The sequence below is a fragment of the Homo sapiens genome, chromosome 17, assembly GCF_000001405.40.
Source record: "Homo sapiens chromosome 17, GRCh38.p14 Primary Assembly".
Lineage (NCBI taxonomy): Eukaryota > Metazoa > Chordata > Mammalia > Primates > Hominidae > Homo > Homo sapiens.
In genome coordinates, this window is record NC_000017.11 from 75,604,748 (window position 1) to 75,623,504 (window position 18,757).

The 18,757-nt window shown below is 58.5% G+C and overlaps 1 protein-coding gene across 31 annotated transcripts in view; it reads left to right on the forward strand.

The window, feature by feature from the left end:
• Nucleotides 1–18,757, forward strand: part of MYO15B (myosin XVB) — a 39,050-nt gene that overhangs the window by 16,948 nt on the left and 3,345 nt on the right. For 22 of the 31 annotated variants that reach the window (NM_001395058.1, NM_001309242.2, XM_017025120.3 and 19 more), the window contains 34 exons: nt 757–874; nt 1,117–1,274; nt 5,419–5,512; nt 6,153–6,212; nt 6,854–6,911; nt 7,139–7,269; nt 8,051–8,146; nt 8,227–8,462; nt 8,546–8,724; nt 8,958–9,030; nt 9,452–9,613; nt 9,836–9,936; nt 10,026–10,102; nt 10,214–10,295; nt 10,493–10,591; nt 10,756–10,853; nt 10,946–11,137; nt 11,322–11,400; nt 11,565–11,699; nt 11,777–12,038; nt 12,127–12,214; nt 12,338–12,557; nt 13,063–13,175; nt 13,379–13,438; nt 14,396–14,471; nt 14,611–14,729; nt 14,934–15,052; nt 15,132–15,273; nt 15,499–15,610; nt 15,720–15,889; nt 16,284–16,429; nt 16,598–16,661; nt 16,754–16,823; nt 17,257–17,333. In NM_001395058.1, the coding sequence (NP_001381987.1) occupies nt 757–874; nt 1,117–1,274; nt 5,419–5,512; nt 6,153–6,212; nt 6,854–6,911; nt 7,139–7,269; nt 8,051–8,146; nt 8,227–8,462; nt 8,546–8,724; nt 8,958–9,030; nt 9,452–9,613; nt 9,836–9,936; nt 10,026–10,102; nt 10,214–10,295; nt 10,493–10,591; nt 10,756–10,853; nt 10,946–11,137; nt 11,322–11,400; nt 11,565–11,699; nt 11,777–12,038; nt 12,127–12,214; nt 12,338–12,557; nt 13,063–13,175; nt 13,379–13,438; nt 14,396–14,471; nt 14,611–14,729; nt 14,934–15,052; nt 15,132–15,273; nt 15,499–15,610; nt 15,720–15,889; nt 16,284–16,429; nt 16,598–16,661; nt 16,754–16,823; nt 17,257–17,333 (4,066 nt within the window). Of the gene's footprint in view, nt 1–756; nt 875–1,116; nt 1,275–2,209; nt 2,470–5,418; nt 5,513–5,837; nt 5,985–6,152; nt 6,213–6,853; nt 6,912–7,138; nt 7,270–8,050; nt 8,147–8,226; nt 8,463–8,545; nt 8,725–8,957; nt 9,031–9,230; nt 9,287–9,451; nt 9,614–9,815; nt 9,937–10,025; nt 10,103–10,213; nt 10,296–10,492; nt 10,592–10,755; nt 10,854–10,945; nt 11,146–11,321; nt 11,401–11,564; nt 11,700–11,776; nt 12,039–12,126; nt 12,215–12,337; nt 12,558–13,062; nt 13,176–13,378; nt 13,439–14,395; nt 14,472–14,610; nt 14,730–14,933; nt 15,053–15,131; nt 15,274–15,498; nt 15,611–15,719; nt 15,890–16,283; nt 16,430–16,597; nt 16,662–16,753; nt 16,824–17,256; nt 17,334–18,757 lie in introns of those variants that run through there. The other 9 variants (XM_017025125.3, XM_047436797.1, XM_017025138.3 and 6 more) reach the window with 8 other exon arrangements.

Below are 18,757 nucleotides of genomic sequence, written 5' to 3' on the forward strand. Positions count from 1 at the left end.
CCCCCAGCTGAGCGCCTGGCATAGAGCAGGCACTTTCCAAATTTTTTAATGATCTAGAAATGAAATAAATACTGAGGGGCTCAGGGTGTCGTACAGCAAGTGTGAAAGGGCTTGGGTGCAGTGGCTCACGCCTGTAATCCCAGCACTTTGGGAGGCCAAGGCAGGCAGATCACCTGAGGTCAGGAGATTGAGACCAGCTGACCAATATAGAGAAACCCCGTCTCTACTAAAAATACAAAATCAGCTGGGCGTGGTGTTGCATGCCAGTAATCCCAGCTACTCGGGAGGCTGAGGCAAGAGGATCACTTGAACCTGGGAGGTGGAGATTGTGGTGAGCTGAGATTGCACCATTGCACTCCAGCCTGGACAATGAGAATGAAACTCTGTCTCAAAAAAAAAAACCAAAAAGGCCGGGCGCAGTGGCTCACGCCTGTAATCCCAGCACTTTGGGAGGCCGAGGCGGGCAGATCACGAGGTCAGGAGATCGAGACCATCCTGGCTAACACGGTGAAACCCTGTCTCTACTAAAAATACAAAAAATTAGCCGGGTGCGGTGGCGGGCACCTGTAGTCCCAGCTACTAGGGAGGCTGAGGCAGGGGAATGGCCTGAACCCGGGAGGCGGAGCTTGCAGTGAGCCGAGATCGCGCCACTGTACTCCCGCCTGGGCAAAAGAGCGAGACTCCGTCTTAAAAAAAAAAAAAAAAGTGTAAAAGGAGGTTCTGGCTATTCTGATCTCAGCTCCATCCTTGGAGCAGCTTCCAGGCCCTGGGGTCAGAAGGGCAGGAAGACCTCTCTGACCGGGAGAAGTGTGGTGCCGTCCTGAGCCAGGTGCTGGGGGCCGAATCACCTCTCTATCACCTTGGAGCCACCAAGGTGGGTGTGTGTATCCCTGTGTGCAGAGGGCAGCATGAATGGGAAAGGAGAGGTGCATTCTGGGCCCAAAGGGACAAACCCAGGATTTGGGGATCCATCCAAGTGGTGGGAGACAGAAGGGCTGGACGGCAGGGCCAGAAGAACAAATGGTTTGGCTGGAAGGGAGGAGGCTGAGACCAGAGGAGGAGAGCAGGAGGGGCTGGCTCCTGGCTCCTGCCTACAGCCCACCCCTCTACCCACAGGTCCTGCTGCAGGAGCAGGGCTGGCAGCGGCTGGAGGAGCTCCGGGACCAGCAGCGCTCCCAGGCCCTGGTCGACCTGCACCGCAGCTTCCACACCTGCATCTCCCGCCAGCGCGTCCTGCCCCGGATGCAGGCTCGCATGCGTGGGTTCCAGGCCAGGTCTGCAGGCGTTGGAGCCAGGGCTGAAGTGGGTGGGGTGAGGCCGTGGGTTCGTCCTCCAGGTGGTGGGGCAGGGTTGGGGAAACATAGGGCCTCAAGGCAAGTCATCCTGCCCCAGTGCCATCTCATCGGCATGTGACTCTCCTTGACGGCATTACCCCCCATACCCGTGCAGCCTCTGCTTGAATACCCCGGCCACAAGAAACTCATTACCTACTGAGGCCACCTGAACCTGTGGTCCTGACTCCTTTATCATTCTCTTTTCTGGTCTGTTTTCCACACTGTGGGAACAATCTTTGTTTTTTTTTTTGAGTTGGAGTTTTGCTCTTGTTACCCAGGCTGGAGTGCAGTGGCGCGATCTCAGCTCACTGCAACCTCTGCCCCCTGGGTTCAAGTGATTCGCCTGCCTCAGCCTCCCGAGTAGCTGGGATTACAGGCTTGTGCCACCACACTCAGCTAATTTTTTTTTGAGATGGAGTTTCACTCTTGTTGCCCAGGCTGGAGTGTAATGGTGCGATCTCGGGTCACTGCAACCTCCACCTAACAGGTTCAAGTGATTCTCCTGCCTCAGCCTCCTGAGTAGCTGGGATTACAGGCATATGCCACCACGCCTGGCTAATTTTGTATTTTTAGTAGAGACGGGGTTTCTCCATGTTGGTCAGGCTGGTCTCGAACTCCCGACCTCAGGTGATCCGCCCGCCTCAGCCTCCCAAAATGCTGGGATTACAGGTGTGAGCCACCGTGCCCAGCTACAGTCATCTTTTCAAAGCATGAATCATGTTGTTAAGGACCTGACTACCTCCCCAGCCCAATTTAGGCCAGACTTTTACCCTGCAGTGACTTTAGACTTCTCTTTCCTATAACACCACCCTCCCACTTCTCACCTAATCATCTCTTTTTCGCCCTCACAGCCTGTCTTCACACATTCCTCCAACAGCTGTTGGCTGACCGTCTGCCTCATCTACCCTTGGGCCAGATGCTGGTGACAGAGCTGGGGATGCCAGAGACGGGGCCTCCCAGGCTGGTTGGGAAGTCAGATTCAGATGGTAGAGCAGCCAGTGATCTTCCCAGAGAGTAACTCGAGGGCTGAGAATGAAGTGAAGACAGTGCAGAACATCGGGGGAGCCAGGCATCTCCACTATCTATTTCCAACACGTTTTCATCCCGCAAACAGAAACTCTGGACCCATTAAGCAGTAACTATTGCCCCCAAGACCCCCAGCCCCTGGTAACTTTCAGTCTACTTGAGTCTCTATGAAGTTGCCCATTCTAGATACTTCCTGTAAGTTGACTCATACAATATTTCCTTTTACGACTGGCTTCTTTCACTTAACATAATGTTTCAAAGTTCATCCATGTTGTAGCATGTGTCAGAAATTCATTCAGTTCCAGGCTTGAGGGTTAATAATTAATTATTATTATTATTATTATTATTATTATTATTATTTGAGATGGAGTCTTGCTCTGTTGCCCAGGCTGGAATGCAGTGGCTCGATCTCGGCTCACTGCAACCTCTGCCTGCCAGGTTCAAGCAATTCTCCTGCCTCAGTCTCCTGAGTAACTGGGATTACAGGCACCCACCACCCGCCACCACGCCCGGCTAATTTTTCATATTTTCAGTAGAGACGGGGTTTCACCATGTTGGCCAGGCTGGTCTTGAACTCCTGTCTTCTGAGTCGATCCACCCGCCTCAGCCTCTCAAAGTGCTGGGATTACAGGCGTGAGCCACTGCACCCGGCCTGTTCTAGTCTGTTTACAAATCTTTGGGGTATAGGCCAAGGAGTGAAAGTGCTGGTAATTCTATCATATGGTAATTCTATGTTTAACTTTCTGAGGAGCTGCCAAATTGCTTTCCATAGTGGCTGCATCATTTTATGTTTCTACCAGCAATGTACAAGGGTTCCAGTTTCTCTACATCCTTGCCAGTACTTATTCTTTTCCATTTTTAAAATCATAGCCCTGCTAGTGGGTGTGAAGTGGCATCTCATTATGGCTTTGATGTGCATTTCTCTAGGACTAATGACGTTGAGCATCTCAGACATTAGTGCCACTCCTTTGGAGAAATGTCTGTTTCTCCTCTGCCCGTTTTTAGTTTTTAATTAATTAATTAATTTTTGAGACAGAATCTCGCTCTGTCACCCAGGCTGGAGTGCAGTGGCGCCATCTCAGCTCACTGCAACCTCTGCCCCCTGGATTCAAGCCATTCTCCTGCCTCAGCCTCCCGAGTAGCTGGGATTACAGGCACCTGCCACCATGCCCAGTTAATTTTTGTGTTTTTAGTGGAGATGGGGTTTTACTATGTTGGCCAGGCTGGTCTCGAACTCCTGACCTCAGGTGATCCACCTCAGGTGATCAGCCTCCCAAAGTACTGGGATTACAGGCATGAGCCACTGCACCCGGCCTTTATTTTTTATAATTATTATTTTTTATTAAAAAAATTTTTTTGAGACAGAGTCTTGCTATATCATCCAAGTTGGAGTGCAGCTGGGTCACACCTGTAATCCCAGCTCCTCAGGAGGCTGAGGCACGAGAATCACTTGAACCTGGGAGGCGGAGATTCAAGTGAGCCGAGATCGCGCCATTGCACTCCAGCAGCAGCATGATCTCAGCTCACTGCAACCTCCAGCTACTGGTTTCAAGTGATTTCGTGCCTCAGCCTCTGGAGTAGCTGGGATTACGGGCATAGGCCACCAAGCCCGGCTAATTTTGTTGTTGTTGTTGTTTTTCTTTTGAGATGGAGTCTCGCTCTGTTGCCCAGGCTGGAGTGCAATGGCTTGGTCTCAGCTCAATACAACCTCCGCCTCCTGGGTTCAAGCGATTCTCCTGCCTCAGCCTATGAAGTAGCTGGGACTACAGGCACCTGCCACCATGCTCAGCTAATTTTTGTATTTTTAGTAGAGACAGAGTTTCACTATGTTGGCCAGGCTGGTCTTGAACTCCTGACCTCGTGATCTGCCCGCCTCGGTCTCCCAAAGTGCTGGGATTATAGGCGTGAGCCACCACGCCTGGCCTTTTTTGTATTTTTAGTAGAGACGGGGATTCACCGTGTTGGCCAGGCTGGTCTCAAGCTCCTGGTCTCTAGTGATCCTCCCACTTGAGCCTCCCAAGGTACAGGGATTACAGGTGTCATACGGGTATGAGCCATTGCACCCGACCAGTGGTGTTACTTTTTAATAAGTTCTGCTGCTCTTTTTTTTTTTTTTGCAAGATAGGGTCTGACTTTGTCACCCAGGCTAAAGAGCAGTGACCCAGTCATAGCTCCTACCTCAGCCTCCCAAGTAGCTAGGACTACAAGGACACGCCGTCATGCCTGGCTAATTTAAAAAATCTTTTTTGTAGAGATGAGGTCTTGCTATGTTGCCCAGGCTGGTCTTGAACTCCTGGTCTCAAGCAATTCTCCTTCCTCAGCCTCTTAGAGTGCTGGGATTACAGGCATGAGCTACCGTACCAAGCTAAGGGAAATGATTTTTTTTTTTTTTTTTTTTTTTTTGGTCAGTGTGCATATGGGGAACTGATCTGAACCCAGGTATTCTAGGCCCAGGGTCAGAGAGTCAGATCTTAATCCCTCAGGCTAAACAGTCTCTCAATTTACTCGTTCTCCTTCCTCCCTTCCTCCCTCTCTCCCTCCTCCCTCCTCCTCTCTCTCTTTCTTTCCTTCCTTCCCTTCCTTCCTTCCTCCCTCCCTCCCTCCCTCCCTCCCTTCCTGATGGAGTCTTGGTCTGTCACCCAGGCTGGAGTGCAATGGCGCGATCTCGGCTCACTTGAATCTCCACCTCCCAGGTTCAAGTGATTCTGGTGCCTCAGCCTCCTGAGGAGCTGGGATTACAGGTGTGCTGTAATTTTTGTATTTTTAGTAGACGGGGTTTCACCATGTTGGCCAGGCTGGTCTTGAACTCCTGACCTCAAGTGATCCACCCGCCTTGGCCTCCCAAAGTGCTGGGATTACAGGCATCAGCCACCGCACCCGACCCTTGCTTTTCTTTTGAAGTATCCTATTCTTTTCCTGTCGTTTCTGTGAAGCATCCAGGGCTTCTCTGGTCCAAAGTCAGTTTTTACATGAATGTCAGGCTTAAGGGATTCCAGTGCCAGGCAGGAAGCATAAGTTTGGACTCTTCATTTCGCCCCCGCTCTTTCCCGGCCTCCAGGAAGCGGTACCTCCGGCGGCGGGCAGCTTTGGGACAGCTGAACACCATCCTGCTGGTGGCCCAGCCCCTGCTCCAGAGGCGGCAGAGACTGCAGGTGCAGGGGCTTGGGTGGGGCGGTTCAGGGTAGAAGCCAGGCTGCCTGAGCTGGCCGAGCTGGCCAAATCCCAGCAGCGTTGACCCTCTCAGCCCGGCCTCGCACGGGCTGTGGCTTCAGACACAGTGCTCCTTGAACTCATCCCTTTTCCCTCCGGCCGGGGTAGGCCGGGGCCCTTGGGAGGTGCTGTCTTCCTCCATCCCTGCCTACTCTCCCCAGGGCCTGGCTCTTCCCTCTTGCCTGGGGTTCCCATCCCCTCCAGGCCTCCCCTGGGCCCCGTCCGCTCCCCTCTTTTGCATGATGACTCAAATCTAAGGTCTATAAAGCGACTCAAAGGTCAATGCCCACGTGCTACCCCCTCTCTGGCCCCTCCCTGGCTGGACTTTGTCCCCTGGGACCATTTCTTCCCTTCTTCCTGCCCTCTTCCCGGTGCCCTGGCAGATGGGCACAGACGCCCACAGTGCTAAGGCTGGTGAGGGCCCTGGAGGGCCAGGGGTGGCTGGCCCCTCCTGATCTGTTCTCACTCCTTTGCTGAGAACCTCCCAGGGGCAGGAGGGGACAGCTGAACTTCAGAGCTGGGGAGGTGCCCCCAGGTGACTCACATGGGAGGCATCAGCTCTTCCCACATCTCTTCCAACAGCTTGGGCGTTGGCAGGGCTGGCATAGCAGCGAAAGGGCCTTGGAGAGAGTGCCAAGCATGGTAGGTGGCCTGGAAAGTGGGGGGTTTTACATGGGGCTATGAACCTGCTGAGACTGGGACAGCTTAGAGGGCTGCCAGGGTGCTACCGTGGGTCTTGTCCCTCAGGGCCATGCATTGCACCTCCTGAGAAGAGGACCGGGGTGCTCTTGGCTCTTGGTTTCCCTCAGAGGGTCTTTGGGGCTCTGTTTGTTCGAGTGTCCAGGGTCAGAATCCTTGGTCTTTGGCTGGGTGTGGTGGCACACACCTGTAATCCCAGCACTTTGAGGTCGAGGTGTGAGGATTGCTTGAGCCCAGGAATTTGAGACCAGCCTGGGCAACATGACAAGACCCCATCTCTACAAAAACAATAAAAATTAGCTGGACACAGTAGCACATGCCTATAGTCTCAGCTACTCAGGAGGTTTGAGGTGGGAGGATCGCTTGAGCTAGAGCCTCAGAAGTCAAGGCTGCAGTGAGCCATGATGGTACCACTGCACTCTAGCCTGGGTGACAGAGTGAGACCCTGCCTCAAAAAAAAAAAAAAAAAAAAATCCGTGGTCTTTGGAAGGGATGTTTATAATCTTGGGGTTGAGGGTGTGGGGAGGGACACTGGTCCCTAGGCCCCTCCTGTGGATCCTGGGTAAATGAGTCCCCTCTGCCAGGAGCTGGGGCGCTTGGAGATCCCGGCTGAGCTGGCCGTCATGCTGAAGACGGCGGAAAGTGAGTCTTGTTGGTGTCCTCTTGTTAGGACTCCTTCTCCAGTCCCTTTACTGTGGGGTGTGTCTGTCCCTTGTGGTTCCTCCCTCTGATGCTCCAGACTCCCCTGAGCTCATCACTTGGGTCCCTGTGGACAGGGGCTGATGGCTCGTGGTGAGGGATGGAGGTGGTCCCAGGGCCAGGTACCACACCTGGATGCTCCTGGGCTGCCTCCCGGTGCTTGTTCCCAGGCCATCGGGACGCCCTGGCTGGGAGCATCACCGAGTGCCTGCCGCCTGAGGTTCCTGCCCGGCCCAGCCTGACTCTCCCAGCAGACATTGACCTGTTCCCTTTCTCCAGCTTCGTCGCCATCGGCTTTCAGGTGGGCGCCCAGGCCTAAGCTCTTCCCGCTGGCCTCACCGCTCTGAGTTAGCACCTGCCTGACAGATGCTGCGTTTTTTTCCCCGCTGTCAGCTCTTGCCCTCCTTCCTCCCCAGCCTTTGGGGCTGTGAGTAGCGCTGAATTGCTCTGAAAATAACCGTTGAATGTAATTGTCTCACCATAGAGCGTTACTGGAGATAACAGTTGGTGTTATTGAATGGGAGACGTTATTTAGATCCACGATGCCACACCTTTGTTGTACCTGCGGTAGTGCCCTGCTTTTGAAGTCATGACCTTAAAGAATGTTTATTGACAAGGGAAATTGTCCAGACTTCAGCAGTAAATACAAATGCAGGTTCAAAACTGCACATACAGGTTGGACATGGTGGCTCATGCTTGTAATCCCAGCACTTTTGGGAGGCCGAGGTGGGTGGATCACCTGAGGTCAGGAGTTTGAGACCGGCCTGGCCAACATGGTGAAACCCCGTCTCTACTAAAAATACAAAAATTAGCCAGACATGCGCCTGTAGTCCCAGCTACTCAGGAGGCTGAGACAGGAGAATCACTTGAACCTGGGAGGTGGAGGCTGCAGTGAGCTGAGATTGTGCCACTGCACTCCAGCCTGGGCGACAGACAAGACTCTGCCTCAAAAAAAAAAAAAAGGCATTAAGATGCATTTCTGTCCAGCCCCTCTGCCTCTCCCGAGGTGCCTGCTCCGGTGGGGCTCCCCTGGGCTGTCTGATAGCTGGTGAGCATGGACTGAGCCCTCTCCTTCCTTGCAGGAACCGTCCCTGCCCAGGCCAGGGCAGCCACTGGCGAAGCCCCTAACCCAGCTGGATGGAGACAACCCTCAGCGTGCCCTGGACATCAACAAAGTGGTGAGTGACACATTGGAGAAGGGACAGGATAGGCGCCTGGGAGCCCCGCACGTCCTGTCCTTACCCGGCTGTGTCGGCAGATGCTGCGGCTCCTGGGGGACGGATCCCTGGAGTCCTGGCAGAGGCAGATCATGGGCGCATACCTGGTGCGGCAGGGGCAGTGCCGGCCAGGGCTGCGGAATGAGCTCTTTAGCCAGCTGGTGGCCCAGCTATGGCAGAACCCAGATGAACAGCAGAGCCAGCGTGGCTGGGCCCTCATGGCTGTTTTGCTCAGCGCCTTTCCCCCACTGCCTGTCCTACAGAAGCCACTGCTCAAGTAAGGGGCCTGGGAGGTGGGGACCTGGCAGGTGGGGTCGCTGGATCACCCTGCCTCCACTGCAGCCTGTGCCCGCCCTGCAGGTTCGTGTCTGACCAGGCCCCCAGGGGCATGGCAGCGCTGTGCCAGCACAAGCTGCTGGGGGCCTTGGAGCAGTCGCAGCTGGCCTCGGGGGCCACTCGGGCCCACCCCCCGACCCAGCTGGAGTGGCTGGCCGGATGGCGGCGGGGCCGCATGGCGCTGGATGTGTTCACCTTCAGCGGTGAGGGCTGCCTCTGGCTGAGGCCTCCCAGGCCTGAAGTGGGGCCAGCCCTACCCCTTTGCCCTCCCTGGAACCCCTTCCTGCCCCAGTCTTCCTGCTGCCCTGTCCTCAGTGACCCTGATCCCCCTCCCCTCTGTCCTGCTTTTGAAACTCTCATGGGGACAGCAGCCCCTTCCTGTCAGGGTGGACTCTGCTGTCCCTCACTCTTGCCCCCGCCCCCCATGCCCCTGCAGAGGAGTGCTACTCGGCCGAGGTGGAGTCTTGGACCACCGGGGAGCAGCTGGCTGGGTGGATCCTGCAGAGCAGGTATGGGGACCGGGGATGGGGGACAGTGTGGCCAAAGTGACCCTTGTCCTATACCCTCCTCCTTCTCCAAGCCCAGTCTCAGGGGCCGGGAGGAGAGGTGCCCCGGGGTGGGCAGGGGCCAGACTGCAGATGGCGATGGGGAGCCGGGGGCAGATTAGGAATGAGGGGCTTGGGAGCTCCCACGGCAGATTCTAACTCAGCAGGTCAGAAAAGAAATGCCCATGCTGGAGCCCTTGTGGAAGTGGAGGGCCGTGAGGTGAGGAGGGGAGCAGCCCCCACTGCTGAGCAAACCTGGGTCCCGGACCAGGCGGATCCAGGGCCACCCTCCCTTCCTCAGCCCCCTGCCCCCTTGGCCCACCCTGTGGTCCTTGCCCCCTTCTGGATGGCCGCCTGCCTCACTGACTGGTCCCCTCCCACCCAGAGGCCTGGAGGCGCCTCCCCGGGGCTGGTCTGTGTCACTGCACTCCAGGGACGCATGGCAGGACTTGGCTGGCTGCGACTTTGTGCTGGACCTGATCAGCCAGACTGAGGACCTGGGGGACCCAGCTCGCCCCCGCAGCTACCCCATCACTCCTCTTGGCTCGTAGGTGCCACCCAGCACCCCTCTCCCTGGCCTGCTCCTGCCGGGGAACCCCACAGCCACCCTGCCACACTCAGGGGTTTATAGGAGCTGCCACAGGCCCAGCCCTCCCACCCAGCCTCCTCCCAACCATGGGGTGACCCCCGCAGCAGCTTCTACCTCTTGCCCCAGCCTGGGTGACCCTCAGCCTTGGCCACCCCCTTAGCTGGATCCCGTTTCCTGCAGAGCCGAGGCCATTCCCCTTGCCCCTGGCATTCAGGCCCCCTCACTGCCCCCAGGACCCCCTCCAGGTCCAGCCCCAACGCTGCCCAGCAGGGACCACACAGGTAAGGCTGGAGTGGGCACATGGAGGTTGGCAGAGCATGGGAAGCCCCACGCCCCGGGCCATGGCTCCAACCCTCTCCCTGCCCCACAGGGGAGGTCCAGAGGTCAGGGAGCCTGGACGGCTTCCTGGACCAGATCTTCCAGCCAGTGATATCCTCCGGCCTCAGCGTGAGTCGGGCACAGCCCCCAAATGCCCCTGCCCCAACCCCCCGGGGCCTCTGCTGCCCCTTCCATTTTTCTCAGGGCTCTCACTCTGACCTGTGACCATTGTCCCTTTAGGATCTGGAACAAAGCTGGGCTCTGAGCAGCCGCATGAAGGGAGGGGGCGCCATTGGGCCCACACAGCAGGGCTACCCCATGGGTGAGTGAGGGGCTGATTCCTCACCCAGGGCCTCCGGGCCCGGCAGCATGGCAGGCATGGCCTGGGACCCCTCTGGCAGTGGCGATCGATGCCCTGGCCAGCACCCCGGTGCCCGATGCTCTTCTCTGTGCCTGGGGCTGGAGGGAGGTGGCATGTGGGCCCAGGCAGGGACTGACAGGGAGGGCGTGTTCCCTCAGTGTACCCAGGAATGATTCAGATGCCTGCATACCAGCCAGGCATGGTCCCTGCACCCATGCCCATGATGCCAGCAATGGGCACAGTCCCTGCCATGCCAGGTAAGTCTGGGCTGGGGGCACCAGAGTCCCTTCTCAGGAGAGCAGCCACCAGCTCTGGGACTGGAGGAGGGAGGGTCCTGCTAGGAGTCCCGAGTGCACAGTGGGCAGCGAGCTTCAAGGCTGGCCATGGTGCCCACCACTCTGGCCGCCTGCCGCCCTCACAGCCATGGTGGTGCCGCCGCAGCCACCGCTTCCCAGCCTGGATGCAGGGCAGCTGGCCGTCCAGCAGCAGAACTTTATCCAGCAGCAGGCGCTAATCCTGGTGAGCGCTGGCAGGGCCCTGGGGCCACCTGGTGGAGGAGAGGTCTGTGGCTCGGGGATGAGGGTCTGAACTGGCTGCTCCTCCTGCTTCAGGCCCAGCAGATGACAGCCCAGGCCATGTCCCTGTCCCTGGAGCAGCAGATGCAGCAGCGGCAGCAGCAGGCTCGGGCCTCCGAGGCTGCGTCCCAGGCCTCACCCTCAGCCGTCACCTCCAAGCCCAGGAAGCCCCCCACACCCCCGGAGAAGCCACAGCGTGACCTGGGATCAGAGGGTGGCTGCCTGAGGGTGAGGAGGTGACCATATTCTCAGGAAGGGATGTGAGGGTGGGGACTGCAGGGGCAGGGGACATGGGCAGGGTGAGTAGGCAGACACAGGGAAGAGGCTGCTGGCCCAGGACTGGGGACCCGAGGGGTGTGGCGAGTGTGGCACCCAGGCTGGCTGAGCTGCCACTCATTTCTGCTTCTGCCAGGAGACCTCCGAGGAGGCTGAAGACAGGCCCTATCAGCCCAAGAGCTTCCAGCAGAAACGGAACTATTTCCAGAGGATGGGTGAGGGCACTTGGGGTGGCAGGACCGTGCAGAAACATGGCCAGTGCCCCTGGCCCGGGCCAGGGAGGGTGGGGTGTGCTCTGCTCCCCGGAGTTGGTGCGGCCCATCCAGGAGCCCAGCTGGGCCAGTATGGGTAACTTTGAAGGCCATCTGGACACTTGCAGGGCAGCCACAGATCACAGTGAGGACGATGAAGCCCCCGGCCAAGGTCCACATCCCCCAGGGGGAAGCGCAGGAGGAGGAGGAGGAGGAGGAGGAGGAGGAGGAGCAGGAGGAGCAAGAAGTGGAAACAAGAGCAGGTTGTGGGGAGCTGGGCAGGGCCTGGGGCTCCGGTGGCTCTGCACGCGGTTAACAGTCTTTCCTGTTTCCTGGTCAGTGCCGTCCCCTCCTCCTCCCCCCATCGTGAAGAAGCCATTGAAGCAAGGTGGGGCCAAAGCTCCAAAAGAGGCTGAGGCTGAGCCAGCCAAGGAGACAGCGGCCAAGGGCCATGGCCAAGGGCCAGCCCAAGGCAGGGGGACTGTGGTGCGCAGCTCAGACTCCAAGCCCAAGCGGCCACAACCCAGCAGGGAAATTGGCAACATCATCCGCATGTACCAGAGCCGCCCGGGCCCCGTGCCTGTGCCCGTGCAGCCATCCAGGTGGGCCCCCACGGGGAGGTGGCCAGGGCTGTCCCGCTCCTCGGGGAATCACCCTATGAACTTAGTGACCTCTTGCTTCTCCCACGAGGCCTCCCAAAGCTTTCCTGAGGAAAATCGACCCCAAGGACGAGGCTCTGGCCAAGCTGGGTATCAACGGTGCCCACTCGTCCCCGCCGGTGAGCACCCCAGCCTGTCTCCCCCAGAGTGTGTGCTGCTGCACTGGGGAGCTCAAGGCTCTCTGGGGCGAACTTGGCCTTGTGCTGTGACTCAGCCCGTGTACTTTCTCCGTATCCCCCCAGATGCTGTCCCCCAGCCCAGGAAAGGGCCCCCCGCCAGCTGTGGCTCCTCGACCCAAGGCCCCGCTACAGCTTGGGCCCTCTAGCTCCATCAAGGAAAAGCAGGGGCCCCTTCTGGACCTGTTTGGCCAGAAGCTGCCTATTGCCCACACACCCCCACCTCCACCAGCGCCACCACTGCCTCTGCCCGAGGACCCAGGGACCCTTTCAGCAGAGCGTCGTTGTAAGGAACCACATTTCTCCTGCGCCGTGGGCTTCACTGGGGCAGAGGCAGGGTTCGCACAGACTCTCGGTGCCCAGGGCTGAAGGCATTTCTGCGTGGCTGAGGCCAGCTGTTCGGGCTTCTGGACTTTGGAGCCATACGTAGCTGGGGAGTCCCAGCTTCCGCGTTCCCACCCAGGGCAGGGCCTGGGCATCTTTGGGGCTGTCATCGAGAGGCTGTCACACACAGGGTGTTGTCCCTGACACATACCCGACAGCTCTGTGAGGAAGTTAGTGGCCCTGGCTGACATGGTCATAGAAGACCCACGAGCCTCACGGACGCCAGGGAAAGTTTAGGGCCCAAAATGGAGGCAGGAGATGGTGCCATGGAAGGAGTAAGGCAGCTGGAGGTTGGGAGAGCCGGGCCCTTGGAAGGCTCGTGGGGATGAAGGTCTTCCCTCCCGTGCCCCCATCACTCTGGCTCTGCAGCCCCTCACTGAGGCTCCTCACCCCCTCCTCTCTGCCAGGCTTGACACAGCCCGTGGAGGACCAGGGGGTCTCCACCCAGCTACTCGCGCCCTCTGGCAGCGTGTGCTTCTCCTACACCGGCACGCCCTGGAAGTTGTTCCTACGCAAGGAGGTGGGCATGAGGGTGGGGCCTTGGCCTGGCCTCTTTGGGCTGGCAGGGAGGCGGCAGGCTTTGTGCATCCCAGCCTGGGACCCCAGCATCCCCTCCCCACAGCCCACCATCTCAAGGCTGATTTTCCAGGCCTGGGAGGGCAGAGGCTTGCTGGGAAGAGGCACCAGACCCACCGATCTTTGCCCTTCTGTGCCCTCCTCCAGGTGTTCTACCCACGGGAGAACTTCAGCCATCCCTACTACCTGAGGCTCCTCTGTGAGCAGGTGAGAGCTGGCCCACCTGCCAGCCTGAGACATCTGCAGAGACAGCATCCTTCGTGCCCTTTGTCTAATGGCTGGGCCAGGTTAACACCACGTAGGGCATGTTGGCAGCCAGCACTGGGGGGCACTTCTGTGTGCCCAGACCTGCCTTCATTGAACCTTCACAACATTCCTGAGAAGTAGGGACCATGGCCAGGTGCGGTGGCTCATGCCTGTAATCCCAGCACTTTGGGAGGCCAAGGCAGGTGGATCATGAGGTCAGGAGTTCGAGACCAGTCTGGCCAACATGGTGAAACTCCATGTCTATTAAAAATACAAAAATCAGGCGTGGTGGCACGCACCTGTAACCCCAGCTACTTGGGAGGCTGAGGCAGGAGAATTGCTTGAACCCGGGAGGCAGAGGTTGTAGTGAGCCGAGATTGTGCCACTGCACTCCCGCCTGGGTGACAGAGCGAGACTGTGTCTCAACAACAACAAGAAGTAGGGACCATTATTCATCTAGTTTTATAGATAAAGTTTAAAAGCAAAGTGCGTACAGTGCACAACACAGGCTCTAGCACACAGTAGGTACTTAATAAATGGTTGTCACTTTGCCACCTCTGAACGCTCCCAGGAGTGAGCCTCTGTTCCCCCTAATTCTGCAGTAGCACCTGCCCCCTGCCCCGAACAATCTTGTATCTGGGCTGATCCAAGGGCAGTTACCACGGGGTCTCTGGGCAGTGAGTGAAAAGGGAGGGCTGGCAGTTGCAGGGGAGGGGACAGGTGAGACGTGTGAATGGAGGTGGCCCAAGCCCTCCATCCCTCCCTGCCCCACCTAGGCCCTCTGCTGAGCACACAGGCCATGGGGGCCAGGGCGCCCTCCATCGGCCTCCTCAGGTTTTCCTTCATGCATGTGGATGGCTGCTCTGGGGGTGGGCTCTGTCTCAGGACCTGGTGGTGACCACCTCGCTCTGCCCCCAGATCCTACGGGACACCTTCTCCGAGTCCTGTATCCGGATTTCCCAGAATGAGCGGCGGAAAATGAAAGACCTGCTGGGTATGGGTCCAGGGACCATGGAGTTGGGAGCTTGAGTGCTGGGGGCCGCGCCTGCCCTGAAGGAGGGAGCAGCATGGGAGCAAACTCTAGAGCCCCCTCTGTGTGAGCAGAGGGCAGCCTGGGTCCTTCCTGCCCACAGGAGGCTTGGAGGTGGACCTGGATTCTCTCACCACCACCGAAGACAGCGTCAAGAAGCGCATCGTGGTGGCCGCTCGGGACAACTGGGCCAATTACTTCTCCCGCTTCTTTCCTGTCTCGGTCAGTGGCGCTGGGGTAGGGAGTAGGGATGCCAGGCCCCCAGCCTGGATCCTGGGGTGCATGGGCACAGACCACAAGCAGGAGAGCCGGGGAGCAGACGCCAGGGGAAGGACAAAGCCCAGCCACTGGCCCTGGGCAGCTCCAGGGCATCTTGGGCAGTAGCAGGACCCAGGAGACTGCCCGAGACCCACCACCTTCCTGTAGGGCGAGAGTGGCAGCGACGTGCAGCTGTTAGCCGTGTCCCACCGTGGGCTGCGACTGCTCAAGGTGACCCAAGGCCCCGGCCTCCGCCCCGACCAGCTGAAGATTCTCTGCTCATACAGGTGCGCTAGCCCACGACCCTGGGCTAGAGGTGGGGGCAGGTGGCAAGGTGACCTCAGTTCATGCCCGATCCCTGCGCAGCTTTGCGGAGGTGCTGGGTGTGGAGTGCCGGGGCGGCTCCACCCTGGAGCTGTCACTGAAGAGCGAGCAGCTGGTGCTGCACACAGCCCGGGCAAGGGCCATCGAGGCGCTGGTTGAGCTATTCCTGAATGAGCTTAAGAAGGTAAGTGTGGGGCACGGGTTGAGAGGCCGGGCAGACAGCCCTCACCGATGCTGCATCTCCCTGTCCGTCTTCCCTGTGGGGGCAGGGGCTGGGAGTTTGGGCCAAATCCCTGGAAGTCTGGGGTGCTAGGTGGAGGGGCAGGCCAGCAGGGGGAGCAGGTGGGCAGGCAGGACAGGGAGGCACAGGCAGACTTGCTGCTCCAGGCCCTCGCCTGCTTGCCCACAGGACTCCGGCTATGTCATCGCCCTGCGCAGCTACATCACTGACAACTGCAGCCTCCTCAGCTTCCACCGTGGGGACCTCATCAAGCTGCTGCCGGTGGCCACCCTGGAGCCAGGTATCGCCAGAGGCCGGCAGGGGCTCACACAGGGAGGGCATCCACTTGGCAGAGGCTGCCCGGGGGCAGAGGGTCCAGTGGGTGAGCCACATCCCTGGGTGCCTTCCAGGCTGGCAGTTTGGCTCTGCCGGGGGCCGTTCCGGACTCTTTCCTGCCGACATAGTGCAGCCGGCTGCCGCTCCCGACTTTTCCTTCTCCAAGGAGCAGAGGAGTGGCTGGCACAAGGGTCAGCTGTCCAACGGGGAACCAGGGCTGGCTCGGTGGGACAGGGCCTCAGAGGTGAGGAAGATGGGAGAGGGACAAGCAGAGGCAAGGCCTGCCTGAGACTGAGGAAGGAAAGGGGTTTGACCACTCCCGAGGCTGCCATGCGGTGGGACCACCCTGCTGTCCGTCTCCTGTGGCTGCCCCTCTGCCCGCTCCTGATGGCTCGCCTTGTCTCTCCAGCAAGACTGTGCACTCCTTGCAGGCAGGGGCTGGGCTGGATGCTGCTCTTGTGTCCCACGTGGTACTTAGTTCAAGGCTGCCCCAGCAGATGCTTAATAAACAGCTCTTCACTTTCCTGGCTTCTGGTCTTGCTCCTTTGGTGTCTGGCTGGGGAGGGATGGGGCTGGGGCAGGACCCCTGGGACAGGGCACTGGACACTCAGGTGGCACCAGGTTTCTTGTGATCCCAGCGCCCTGCCCACCCTTGGAGCCAGGCACACAGTGACGACTCGGAGGCCACCAGCCTGTCCTCTGTGGCCTATGCCTTTCTGCCCGACTCCCACAGCTACACCATGCAGGAATTCGCCCGGCGTTACTTCCGGAGGTCCCAGGCCTTGTGAGTGCACTGGGCCAACCCCTGTGCCTGTCTGTCCTCAGTCTTCCTGAGAGAGAGCACCCTGCTCAGAGCCACTGGGCTGTGCTCTTAGCACTCTCCCTGCCTGGCTGGCTGGGATGAAGGCAGGAGGGCCAAACAAGCTGGGCTGTCTCCCTCTGCCCCCCACAGGCTGGGCCAGACTGATGGAGGTGCCGCAGGAAAGGACACGGACAGCCTGGTGCAGTACACCAAGGTGGGAGAGAGGCAGGGAGGGGTCTGGCCCGTAGATCTGCCCTCTGACCCCCACGGCCCCCCAGACCCATGGCCTCCTCTCTTTGGCCACAGGCTCCCATCCAGGAGTCGCTCCTCAGCCTCAGTGATGATGTGAGCAAGCTGGCTGTAGCCAGCTTCCTGGGTGAGTGGCCACAGGCATCCTGGGTCCCCATGTCTGCAGTGCCATGAACCTGGGTGTCTGGTCCCCTTATCTCCTTGAGCTCTGCCTGGCTCTGTCCCAGTCTGCCAACTCCGGGAAGCTCACTGGTGGTTCCTGGACCCCAGGGCCCTCACCCGCTTCTACTCCCACTCAAGGGTTGTGGGTTGTGTGGAGTCTGGGGTTGGAAGGCAGTCCATGGGTCCAGAGGATGCTATGTGCTGTGTGGGGCCTTGGATACCCAGGAGCCTCAGTTTCCCCATGAGTCGAGCTGCAACCAGCTGCCCTGGCTGGCATCTATGCATTTTGAGAGTGAGGCATCAGATGGCAGGTGAAGGCCCTGCACAGCAACAGCATGAGCCGGGGCCAGCCCCAGCACAGCCCCAGCTATGTGCCCTGTTTCTTATCGTGCCTGCAGCCCTGATGCGGTTTATGGGTGACCAGTCCAAGCCCCGGGGCAAGGATGAGATGGATCTGCTCTATGAACTGCTGAAGGTAAGCCTGGGCTGTGCGACCCCCAGCGCCTGTGCCTGTCCTCCTGTCTGGGCCTGAAGGAGATCCCCTTCTCTTGGTCACTGTCCTTCAAATCATTCCAAAGTATTTACTGAGCACCCATTGCGTGCAGGGGGGTGTGGCTGTGAAGCCAACAGGCTAAGTCTCTGCAGTGCTTACAATGAGATAACTTATGTGTCTGGGAGTGAGAGGTCACTGGAGAGTAAGAATGCAGGGAAGGGGCTGCTGCAGTGGAGAAGGCTTTGTGGCAGAAGCCTTCCTACAGGGAGGGAAGGAGTGAGCACGGGGTGACAGAGAAGGGCAGGCAACAGTTCAGATGTGGGGGGAAGCCTCGGCACCATCACGCACCGGGACCAGCGTGGCTGAGCCTAGTGAGCTGCAGGGAGAACGGAGGATGAGGATGGGGAGCGGATGGTGGGTCCAGGCCACCACAGGCCTTGTAGCCATCATTGGCCTCTGATTTTTGGAGAGATGGGAAACCACCAGAGGATTCTGGAGAGAGACTCGGCTTACATTTCACAGGGTCACTCGGCTGTTGTTTGAGATTCTGGGTGTCTAAGTTTAAAAGCAAAAGGAAGTTATTGCAGTGGTCCCAGGTGAGGGATGGTGCTGGCAGCAAGGGAGAAGCAGAAGATTGAGCCAGCAGAGTGTGCTGACCAATTGCATGTGGGCTACGGGAAGGAGGACAACTACTGTCTTCAAGGAGCAGGTCTTGGCTGGTGGAGGAAATCTGTTTTGGACACGTGAGGTCTGAAATCCCAGACTTCCCAGTGGAGGAGTCTGGGGTTCAAGGGAGAAGGCTGGAGGCAGGCACCAGGAGTCATCAAATGGGACCAGCTGAGGACACGGGGAGAAGGGCAGACAGAGAGAGGTTCAAGGGCACAGCACCGCTCAGAGGTCAGGGAGTTAAGGTGGAGCCAGCAGAGATGAGTAAGAGATCAGAGAAGCAGGGGCCGGGCGCGGCGGCTCCCGCCTGTAACCCCAGCACTTTGGGAGGCCGAGGCAGGTGGATCACCTGAGGTAGGAGTTGCAGACCAGCCCGGCCAACATGGTGAAACCCCGTCTCTACTAAAAACACAAAAATTAGCTGGGCGTGGTGGAGCACACCTGTAGTACTCGGAAGGTTGAGGCAGGAGAATCGCTAGAACCCAGGAGGGTGGAGGTTGCAGTGAGCCAAGATGGCACCACTGCACTCCAGCCTGGGTGACAGGGCAAGACTGTCTCAAAAAAATAAAAAATAAATGAAAAGGCCGGGCACGGAGGCCCACATCTGTAATCCCAGCACTTTGGGAGGCCAAGGCGGGTGGATCACCTGAGGTCAGGAGTTCGAGATTAAACCTGGCCAACGTAGTGAAACCCCATCTCTGCTAAAAATACAAAAGTTAGCTGGGCGTGGTGGCACGCGC